The 11,982-nt window shown below is 43.7% G+C and overlaps 1 pseudogene, besides 1 other annotated feature; it reads right to left on the reverse strand.

The window, feature by feature from the left end:
• On the reverse strand, nucleotides 8,141-9,300 carry MANEALP1 (MANEAL pseudogene 1; annotated as a pseudogene).
• Nucleotides 9,225-9,724: an enhancer, noted in NCBI's record as "H3K4me1 hESC enhancer chr2:136656467-136656966 (GRCh37/hg19 assembly coordinates)". NCBI's record gives its function as "activates a minimal SCP1, AML or CMV promoter by ChIP-STARR-seq in naive H9 embryonic stem cells {active_cell/tissue: H9 hESC(naive)}" and the evidence as "EXISTENCE:reporter gene assay evidence [ECO:0000049][PMID:30033119]".

Consider the following 11,982-nt stretch of genomic DNA (forward strand, 5'->3'; position numbering starts at 1 on the left):
AGCCTCTTACCAAGTCAGCCCAACCGTGAAACAAACATGGCTCTTTTCATCCTCTGCCAGCTGGTCTCAAGGGAGGTTCCCTTTTCCCCTCTTCCTCCAACTCCAAACATGACCATAAGTTTGAGCTGAGGAAGAGAACAGACCCAACAGTGGTGATGACATGAAACTCTGAGAGTCCTGATTATTATCCAACTTACTTGGGTCCTTCTACTCGTGCCCAATCCCAAGTGTCCAACTACTACACATGTGTGTGTGTGTGTGCGTATATTTTTTTTGTGTGTGAGAGTCTTGCTCTGTCACCCAGGCTGGAGTGCAGTGGTGAGATCTCTGCTCACTGTAACATCCACTTCCCAGGTTCAATTGATTCTCATGCCTCCGTTTCCGAAGTAGCTGGGACCACAGGCGTGTGCCACCATGCCCAGCTAATTGTTTTGTATTTTTAGTAGAAACAGGGTTTCGCCATGTTGGCCAGGCTGATCTCGAACTCCTGACTTCAAGTGATCCGTCCACCTCAGCCTCCCAAATTGCTGGGATTACAGGCGTGAGCTGCTGTGCCCAGCCGGCAACTATTATCCTAGGATGCTTTTAGCCCTTGTAACTTGGTGAATCTGAAAGAATCCAGCACACAATGGGAAGATCTGGCTGCACAGTCACTTGATGTCCTATAATTAGGTACTCTATCTCCACCAGGGCCCTGTAGCCAGCCAGGGTCTCTTTTCTGAATGGTGTATAGTTCTCTGCTGCAGATGGCATAGTCTTACTCCAGAACCTAGGAGGTCTATGTTGTGATTCTCCTACTGGGGCCTCCTATAAACTCTACATGGCATCATTTCCTACCACAGATACCTTTAGTAGCATAGGATTTGCTGCTTGAACCATAGCCTGGAACTGCTTTAGAGCCCTCTCCTGTGCTAGGCACAGCTCAAAACTGACAGCACTCCATGTAGATGGGTCAGAGCAGTGTTGTTTGAAGGTTCTGTTCGATAGTTAGTTATTAGTTCCATGTATTCCAGACTTGGGAAGTGCAAAGAAACCAAGAAGTTATTATTATTATAACACTTTTTGAATGTCTTATAAAAAGTGAGGCACCGTAAAAATGTTATTTATCGAATAAATCTCTCTTCAGTCATGATATGGCTTGGGTATTTGTCCCCTTCAAATCTCATGTTGAGACGTAATTCCTAGTGTGGGAGGTGGGGCCTGGTGGAAGGTGTTTGGATCATGGAAGCAGATCCCTCATGAATGGTTTAGCACCATCGCCTTGCTGATGAGTGAGTTCTCACTCTGAGTTCATGTGAGATCTGGTTAAGTGTGTGGCATCTCTGTCCTCTCTTCCTCCCATGTCATGTGCCTGCTTCCCCTTTGCCTTCCACCGTGATTGTCAGTTTCCTGAGGCCCTCACCAGAAGCAGATGCTGGCAACATGCTTCCTTACAGCCTTCATTACAACCATGAACCAATTAGTTCTCTTTTCTTTATAAATCACCCAGTCTCGGGTATTCCTTTATAGCAACGCAAAAATGGCCTAGTACAATTCACAAACGTGAAACCAGTGGAGTGCATTCTACAGCTATCGCTGTAGAAATGGTAGACTTTTAAAGGCAAAGGCAAGGAATTCCAGTAAACAAATCTTCCTTTAGGGTGCTCTTTTATGATAGGTTTCTTCAAAAACATCCAAGAAATGTTTTACTTTCCTATCACCTTAAAATAAAAATAAAAATAAAAAAAAAAACACCCCAGAACCTTTAGCATTTCAAATGATAAATCTACATAGGCATTTTCAAAAGCCATTTTGTATATGTGTTTAGCCCCACCATGTTTGCTTGCCTCGTTGAATATTCTGGTGACAATACTAAGAACACAAAGGAATTTCAGAATTAGCATTTTAATGCTTCTCATAAGTAAAAAAATCAACTGAGTCTCATTCTGAAGCAAATGTTAAGTTTGCTATGTGGAGGCTGTGGCCAATAACCAGTCAGCAGCACTAAAGCTGAGTGTGGATGTTGGCTGTTTTCTTGCAAAGTGGAAATGTTAGCTCTCCCAAATTGGACCCAGTGACAGTCCAGATGTGGGAGTCTGTTACAAAAGAAAGCAGGTTCTGAGTTACGCTAAGAAAGAAGACAACAGCTAATCTTATTTACTTCCAGAAACTTGTCTCTGATCAGCAATTTCTTTCTCTTTTTCATTTTTTAAGAGACAAGGTCTTGCTCTGTTGCCCCAGCTGGAGTCAGCTTACTGCTGCCTTGAACTCCTGGGATCAAGCAATCCTCCTGCCTCAGCCTCCTGAGTAGCTGGGACTACAAGCATGTGCCACCATGCCCAGCTAAATTTTTTTTATTTTTGGTAGAGACAGGGTCTTGCTACATTGCCCAGGCTAGTCTTGAGCTCCTGACCTCAAGCGATCCTCCTGCTTCGGCCTCTCAAAGTGTTGGGATTATAGGCGTGAGCCACCGCGCCTGGCTAGCAATTTTTAAATATGAATTGCTGCATGATCTGCTCTTCTTTGTTAGAACAGACTTACAAGAACACTCATTCAAATATAGATCTGACTGAATATGTTAAAAAGTAGAATAGTTGGCTGGAGGCTGAGGTGGGCAGATCACCTGAGGTTGGGAGTTCGAGATGAGCCTGACCAACATGGAGAAACTCTGTTTCTACTAGAAATACAAAATTAGCCAGGCATGGTGGCACATGCCTGTAATCCCAACTACTTGGGAGGCTGAGGCAGGAGAATCACTTGAACCCGGAAGGTGGAGGTTGCAGTGAGCCGAGATTGCACCATTGCACTCCAGCCTGGGCAACAAGAGTGAAGCTCCGTCTCAAAAAAAAAAAAGGTAGAATAGTTAATTTGGAAATTTCTATAATAGATTTGACTAAATTAGAAAAATGAATAACTATTTTGAAGCCCAAATAATCCATCAATATATGTAATCTACTTTTACAAACAGATGGGAAAAAGCAAATTGGTTAAAAATGTTACTGCTTGCATCCTTTCAGACTCCGAATGCATATACTATTTGGATATGTGCATATAAATTTCCCTGAGCAGTATGATATGTTATCTAGGTCAGGGTCGGTCAGAAACATATGGCACACTCAAACAAAATATGCTTGAAAAGTTATGTAAAGAAGCCATAAAGATTTGGGAAGCTTTAAAGGAAACAGAAAGGATTGGTGAAGTACCCTAGAGCCAGCAACCACAGGAAGCTACTACCACCTTTAGGTCTGAAGGAGCAGAGAGGGAGCAGCTAGTGGGGTCTAAGAAGCAGGGGTACTGGTAGAGTGGAGGCTGTGGCCTTCAGGAGAGGAAAGTAGCTGTGGCTAGAATGTGGTCCAGCAAAGAAAGAAAATAAATATCCTGACCTTTCTCTTCTCCCTCCATTTGATCTGTTGGTGTTTTCCAATGACCAAAGCCAATTAGAAGCCATTAAGGAAGGTGCTTGGTTAATGCAGTCCATAGAGGTTGGCCTCCCAGGACACACAGCAGAGTGGAAAATGGCAGTAAGTGGAGAAAGCAAGGGCAAACAGAGAAAGTCCAGCTCACAGGAAGAGCTTTCAATGACAATGAACACACATATAGGTAGTCCTTGCTTTGGGTGGTTCTGATATATATTATTTTCAGTTACCACTGTCAAGTTAAATTACATCAGTCCCTCAACATGGTTCAAATTTCAGTTACTGTGGTATATTAATTGTGAGTAATTGCATAAAATACACTGTCACCTCTTCAGGTCAGAAATTACTCCATAAATAACAGATGTGTGTCATAATCAGTGATCAGCTGTGTCATTTCTTTCAAAATCTATTGGTGATCAGTCACTGTACATGTTATTCAGTTCATGCACAGACAGCAAAGTGTGTAGTTGTGTTGCCTCCATGACTCTCACTGATGAATCCATGTGATATTTTTAAAAATAGATATTCAAAAGAGGGCATTAGTCAACAAAGATGACAGTGCAGCAAAGGAACAAAATATGTTAACTCCGGAAGTGAAATTTGCATCAAACATAAATGACATTGCAGAAGAAAGAGCTGACCATGGGAGTGTCGACACTGCCACCTTTGAGAAACTCCAGGTATATACCATAAATGAGGAAAGAGGTTGTGATGGAAAGGATGAAGATTTCCTAGAGGAAGTGACAATAGCAAAAAAACTTCACATTAAAATATTTTGAAGAGATTTCATGGTTTTGAAAGCACAACAGATAAAATATTGGAAGCTGATCTGAATGTAGGATGGAGTATGACGATTCACCAAAGCATAGAAGAAATGGTCACCCCAAGCTGGGTGCAGCAGTGCGTGCCTGTAGTTGCAGCTATTCGGGAGGCCGAGGGAGAAGGATTGGTTGAGCTCTGGAGTTCAAGACCAGCCTGAGCAACATAGGGAGACTCTGTCTCTTAAAAAAACAGTCATTCTATAGTGAAAGTTACACCACAAGAAGCGAAGCATTGTTCAAACTACTCTTCATAATTTTTTTTTACAAAGGCATAAACCATTTTAATTTTCAATGTTTCTAATGTTTTAAATTATAGTACACTAAATAAATATTAGTTTCACTATTTTTTCTTTTTTTCTTTTTTATTGAGACGGAGTCTCGCTCTGTCACCCAGGCTGGAGTGCAGTGGCATGATCTAGGCTCACTGCAAGCTCTGCTTCCCGGGTGCATACCATTCTCCTGCCTCAGCCTCCCAAGTAGCTGGGACTACAGGTGCCCACCACCACGCCCGGCTAATTTTTTTGTATTTTTTAGTAGAGACGGGGTTTCACCGTGTTAGCCAGGATGGTCTTGATCTCCTGACCTCGTGATCTGCCCGCCTTGGCCTCCCGAAGTGCTGGGATTACAGGCGTGAGCCACCGTGCCTGGCCACTATTTTTTTCATTTCTCTATATTCTTATAACCAACAGTAAGGGAATTTTTAACATTTGACAAAAATTTTTAAAGATCATAGGACAATCATATTTTACCCTTTGAATATTAACGTTGCTTTGCATGGTCATTTTTAGAGTCCCACATAATTATGCAAAGTGAGGACTTCTTGTACTGTGCTTTTCAATGGCTGATTAACATTCTACAATATGGATATAGCATTATTTAATCCTCTACTAATGGACATTTAGGTTGTTTGCATTTCTTTCTCTGGTATAAACAATGCTACAATAGATATCTTTAAACACATCTTGTTTTGTGCACCTGTATTCTTAGGATACGTTTTTTTTTTTTATTTTATTTTTTAAGAGATGGGGTCTCGCTGTGTCACTGAGACACTGAGGCTGGAATGCAGTGGTGCACTCATAGCTCACTGCAGCCTTTAATTTTAACTCCTGGGCTCAAGCGATCCTCTTGCCTCAGTCCTCCATAGTAGCTGGGATCACAGGTGCCAGACACCCCACCCAGTTAGGGCTAAATTCTAAGAGAGAGGCATTACTGGGTTAAAGGATATGCATATTCACATTTTGATACACACAGCTAAACTGCCTGCCTGAAATTATGTATGTTTATACTCCACCAACAGCACCTCAAAGCTCCCAATTCTCCACCCTGTGGTGAACAATAAGCATATTTTATTTTCATTGCCAGTTTGTCACCTCACTGTTGTTTCAATTCATGATCACCAGGGAAGCTGAATATTTTTAAAGAATAAGGTTTTAAAAAGGTATTTGAAGAGTTCCTAGCCGGGCGCAATGGCTCACGCCTGTAATCCCAGCATTTTGGGAAGCTGAGGTTTGCGGATCACTTAAGGTCAGGAGTTCGAGACCAGCCTGGCCAACATGGTGAAACCCCATCTCTATTAAAAATACAAAAATCAGTTGGGCGTGGTAGTGGGCACCTGTAATCCCAGCTACTCGGGAGGCTGAGGCAGGAGAATCGCTTGAACCTGGGAGGCGGAGGTTGCAGTGAGCCAAGATCCTGTCACTGCACTCCAGCCTGGGCAACCGAGTGAGACTCCACCTCAAAAAAAAAAAAAAAAAAAAAAAAAAGAGTTCCTTCAATATTACTGACATTGAAAGCAGAGAATTTTCTTGCTCTAGGAGTATGATATCTTTATCCATGAGAAATAGTGGCAGCTACCAGTTTAACATTCTGGGTAGCAATTATGAGTCTGCCAGCTCATTTTAATTAAGCTAATGCATAATGATTTGAAGAAAGACTATAGAGAAAAAGTGGTAAGATTTTGCAAAGTGTCTTAGCTCATTTTTAAGAAAGGCCTATGGGTCATATTTTCATCTCTCAACTAAATATATTCACACACACTATCAGACATAAATGTACATAATAAACTGTCAGATGTGCATGTAAAAATAAAACTTCTAGTATAAATACATTTTACGTTTGGTTTATTATTACCAGCTTTATCTCTGAACTCCCAAAACCAAGCAATCAATTTGTAATATCAGGCACATGCCATATACTCATCATTATGCTATGAATATGGGACTACAAAAAGTTTAAATGTGGTCAGGACACGGTGGCTCACACCTGTAATTCCAGCACTTTGAGAGGCTGAGGCAGGTAGATTGCTTGAGCTCAGGAGTTTGAGACCAGCCTGGGCAACATAGTGAAACTCCCTCTCTACAACAAATAAAAAATTAGCTGGGTGTGATAGCGTGTGCCTGTAGTCCTAGCTCCTTGGGAGCTGAGGTGGGAAGATCACTTGAGCCCAGGAGGTCGAGCTGCAGTGAGACATGATTGCCACTGCCCTCCAGCCTGGGTGACAGAGAGAGACCCTGTATGAAAAATAAAAAAAAAAAAGTTTAAAATGTGGTCCCTACCCGTAGCATTAACAACAATACCTGTTTAGTGAATATATTTTATATGTCAGGAGCTGTAGAAGAGTCTTCACTTATGGGTCTCATTTAATCCTCATGATCTTTCAAGGTAAGCATCGTTAACTCCACTCTACAGATGTGAATTCTGTGCTCAGAATTACACACCTAGTGTCAGGTCAGAATTTGAACCTGAAGTTTTCTGATTCCACGCTGCTACACCAAATTGTTTAAAACCTAGTAAAAGAGGCCGGGCACGGGGGCTCCACACCTGTAATCCCAGCACTTTGGAAGGCCAAGGCGGGTGGATCACTTGAGGTCAGGAGTTCGAGACCAGCCTGGCCAACATGGTGAAACCCCATCTCTACTAAAAACACAAAAATTAGCTGGGGATGGTGGTGCACACTTGTAATCCCAGCTACTCAGGTGGCTGAGGCGAGAGAATTGCTTGAACCCAGGAGGCAGAGGCTGCAGTAAGCCAAGATGGCACCACTGTACTCTAGCCTGAGCAACAGAGTGAGATGCTGTCTCAAAAAAGACCCCAAAAAACAAAACAAAACAAAAAAACCTAGTTAAAGAGACAAAGTAACAAATTTTAGAGAAAAATTAGGTGTGAAACCATGTGTGTGTGTGTGTGTGTGTGTGTGTGTTTTTCGAAATTACCGGTTCATATTTAATTACCACAAATCACAGGAGCACTGGACGTGGCTTTAGTGAGTGGGCCTCATTCAGTTCAGGCAGCTAAAGGGAGGGGGGGTGTCCTCCTAGTCCTCTCCCTGGAGCTAAATATGCACCTGGGAAAAAGTAGGCTCTGGAGCACAGAGGCTTGGGTTTGGTTTTTTTTTTGAGACAGAATCTTGCTCTTGTCGCCCAATCTGGAGTGCAATGGCATGATCTTGGCTCACTGCAACCTCTGCCTCCCAGGTTCAAGCTATTCTCCTGCCTCAGCCTCCTGAGTAGCTGGGATTACAGGTGCTTGCCACCATGCCTGGCTAATTTTTGTATTTTTAGTAGAGACGGGGTTTCGCCATGTTGGCCAGGCTGGTCTCAAACTCCTGATCCACCCACCTCAGCCTCCCAAAGTGCTGGGATTACAGGTGTGAGCCACTGCGCCCAGCCACTTAGAGGTGTTTTTTGGAGCAAAAAGAACTGAACTCCTAGCACCAGGCAAAACTGCAAAAAGAAAAACACCTGTGCCCAGGCACTAGCTACAAGGCTGCACCGGATAAGGAAAGCTTGGGTCCTGTAAGCTTCAGGACAGGGACTGCTCCTTGGTCAAGCTTTCCCTGGCACCTGGCACATAGGAAGTTGCTTGAGGAGCAAGTGTTCAACGAACCTGAGAGTGCTCAGGATGATTTCCAGATAATTGGGTTATCTGAGGGCCCACCCAGAAGCACTCAGCTGCCAACATGGGAAGGAGTGAGTGCCTCCAACCTCAGCTGAGCCCCATGTGGTGACTTCTTCCGGAGAGACAAGGGCATTAGCACGTCACACCCCTGTTTACAGGCCCCTCACCTGAGCCACTGCACCTTCTCTTTGATGAAGTGCTCGCCCAGCAGCGGGTCAGCTCCAAGTACAGGCTGTGCTGAGGAGGCAGGTAGTCCAAATACAGGCGGGGGTGTCTTCTTGGGAGTGGTCTTCTCCATCTGGGTGCCCTCGGGCCACTCATTGAAGGAGGTGATGGAGCTGATCTTGGGCGTCACCATCGCGGCCGCCTGCAAGGCCCTGTCATAGTCCTTGCCATTGACCCTCTTCTCCCTATTGTGGTCGTTCCAGGGCCGGATGCTAGTGTCTATGCAGCCAGGCCCCATGCTGGGAATGAACATGAGGTTGTTGGCATCATAAAAGTTCTTCACAGCTTTCCACTTCTGATGGGAGGAGCCCCAGGAGAATCCATTGGAGACAAAGTAGGTGGACATGCCTTCAAACCCTGCGGCCAGGACATCGTAGGTGTGGCCCTCTTCCACCAATAGTGCTATGAAGACCCCATAGTGGGGGCTGTTTGGTGTCAGGAGGTGGGTCCAGGCCTCAAGGGATGTCAGGTATGAGTCATAGATATAAAAGAGTGGGGTGCTCTTGCCCATGCTGTTCTTATACAGGGATAAAATGCACCATGGGAGCCATTCACGTCAATGATATACTTGATGTTGTCATGTACAGTGATGTCATCCTGACCTTGTGGGGTTGGATGTGGAAGTGGGGTTAGATGTGGATCCAGTCATCTGGATCTGCACTGATGGGTGGTGTCCAGAATGGCAGGCACCAGGTCATCTGAGGGTTCCCTGTGACCATCAGCCATGCCAGGTGTATACCAGGAAGGGACCAGGACATTGGGGTCCCAGGAGCCATAGGGCCCCAGCTCTGTGTAGAAGCTGGAGCCCAAGTCGTCTGGGGGGCTGTGGTGGCTGTAGGGGTAGCTGGCTGAGATCTTGGGGTCCGAGTGAATGCAGTGGCCCTCACGCTGAAGCTCTGGTACCACGAGTGGTAGAAGGTGTGCAGGTCCAAGTGGATGCGCAGGCTCTGCCCCGAGCCAGGAGTGGCTGCCCTCCCACCCACCTCCCACGGCGCTAAAACCACGTGGTTTTGATAGTAAGATGGTCACGTTTTTCACTGGTTTAATAACCTGCAATATAGTGAATGGACAGGTGAGTATTTGGAAGATCCTGAGCAGTTTTAGGAGAAGACTCATTCCTGTAAGTGTTGGGAGAGAGAAGCAGGCCTGGGGAAAGGAGGGTTGAAGGTTTGCCCGGGTCTGATAAGATAAAAGGACAACGTTTTACGGCTGAGCAAGGGGAAGAAATGGCAGATGTAGCCCATCTGGAGAGAGAGCATCAGGGGCTGGTGGTGTGGGTTCTGCTGTACTGATGAGGAAATCTAAGACACTGTGAAAGAAAAATACAATCTTGGGAACCCAAACTCGCTAAGCCAAAGGAAAAGTTAAACTTGGGAACTGAGTCACACACAAAAAACCTTTTTTTGTTCCCAGATGGCTGTAACTTCACATGCTTATTTTATCTTATGCAAAATACAGATTTACTGAGCTGAGACAAATGCATAATTGACTTTCCCCCTACTCCTTTATTTTCACATGTAAAATGCAGATTCACTGAGCCCTAATCAAAGCCTCACAAGAACGTATCCACTTGCCTCACTGCCTACCCTCCCTCCTTTTTTTACCTTCCCCTCCTGCTTGCTTTTTCCCCTTTAAATACTGAAGTTCCCCAAACCTTCTCTGTAGAAAGCATGGGTCACAGATCCAACTGTAACTTGTGTTTTGTTTCCCAGGCGCATCCTCAACCTTGGCAAAATAAACCTCTAATCAGCTGAGATCTGCCTCAGTCACTTTTTGATTTACAACACCATGTGGTGAACAAAGGACTACTTTGACTAGTGAGTTAGCCAATCATTTGTGCAGATGTTGACATTTGGCAGAAGGTGGAAAAATAAAACTGTTTGTATTAATCTGAGTCTACCCGACTTTTGAGAAACTGACGCAGCAGGTAGCAAATACAACTCAAAATCTAGAAAAACCCTCAAGTGCCAGCCAACTGAACTGAAACAGAAATTAGGAGAATGTTGTATTTTCTTTATGGTTAGACATTGCCAAAGGCAGTATCACTTAGAAGTCTCTAACCGTAGCCCAGAAACAAAAAACAACAACAAAACCCAGGCTATTTTAATGGTCTAAATACTTCCAGATCCTAATATATACAGTGAAGAAAAAAAGAAAAAAAAAAACTTCCAGGGATCACAGGAGCCTATGTTAAAAAACATATTCTTATCTAACCCATCTGTATAGTAATGTATTATATATACATTCACTTAAAAATATCAGTTAGGGCCAGGCACGATGGCTCACGCTTGTAATCCCAGCACTTTGGGAGGCTGAGGCGGGCAGATCACTTGAGGTCAGGAGTTTGAGACCAGCCTGGCCAACGTGGTGAAACCCCATCTATACTAAAAATACAAACAAAACAAAACAAAACAAAAAAAAACAACAACAGGCAAAAGACATGAACAGACGCTTCTCAAAAGAAGACACACAGCCAACAAGCATATGAAGAAATGCTCAATATCAATCATTAGAGAAATGCAAATAAAAACCACAGTGAGGTACCATCTCACACCAGTGAGGATAGCTATTATTAAGAAGCCAAAAAATAGCAGATGCTGGTGAGGTTGTGGAGAAAGGAAGTGTTTAAACACTGCTGGTGGGAATGTAAATTAGTTCAGCTACTATGGAAAGCAATTTGGAAATTTCTCAAAAAAACGTAAAACAGAACTACCCATTCAACCTAACAATCCCATTACTGGGTATATACCCAAGGAATATAATCATTCTACCCGAAAGACATATGCATGTATGTTCATCACAGCACTATTCACAATAGTAAAGACATGGAATCAACCTAAATGGCCATCAACAGTGGACTGGATAAAGAAAATGTGGTACACTTATAGCACGGAATACTATGTAACCATAGAAAAGAGTGAGATAATGTCCTTTGCAGCAACATGATGGAGCTGGAGGCCATTATCCTAAGCAAATTAATGCAGGAACAGAAAACCAAATACTGCATGTTCTTACTTACAAGTGGGTGCTAAACATTTAGTACACATGAACATAAGAAGGAGGAATAGACACCGGGGCCTACTTGAGGGTCAAGGGGGGGAGGAGGGTGAGGATTGAAAAACTACCTGTAATTTTCTTACAAACACCTACTCCAGAAAAAGAGACAAAAACAAAACAAAACAAAAAACTACCTATGTTTATTACCTGGGTGGTGAAATAATCTTTACTCCAAAACCTCCTCAACATGCAATTTACCCGTGTAGCAAACTGGCATATGTACCCCCTGAACCTAAAATAAAAGTTGGAAAAAACAAAATTCATGTTGAAACTTAATCCCCATTGTGGTGGTATTGAGGTGGGGCCTTTTGGGAAGTGATTAAGTCATGAGGCTGTGCCCTCACGAATGGATTATCCACCTTATTAAGGGGCTGGAGAGTAGTTTAGACCCTTTCTTGACCTTCTGTTCCTTCTGCCATGTGAGGATACAGCATTTATTCCCTCCAGAGGATGCAGCAACAAGGCACCATCTTCGAAGAAGGGACTGGGTCCCTCACCAGTCACTGCTGGCACCCTGATCTTGGACTTCTCAGCCTCCAGAACTATGAGAAATAAATTTCTGTTTTTTAAAATTACCCAATCTATGG

Source organism: Homo sapiens, chromosome 2 (assembly GCF_000001405.40).
Source record: "Homo sapiens chromosome 2, GRCh38.p14 Primary Assembly".
NCBI classification, from domain to species: Eukaryota; Metazoa; Chordata; class Mammalia; order Primates; family Hominidae; genus Homo; species Homo sapiens.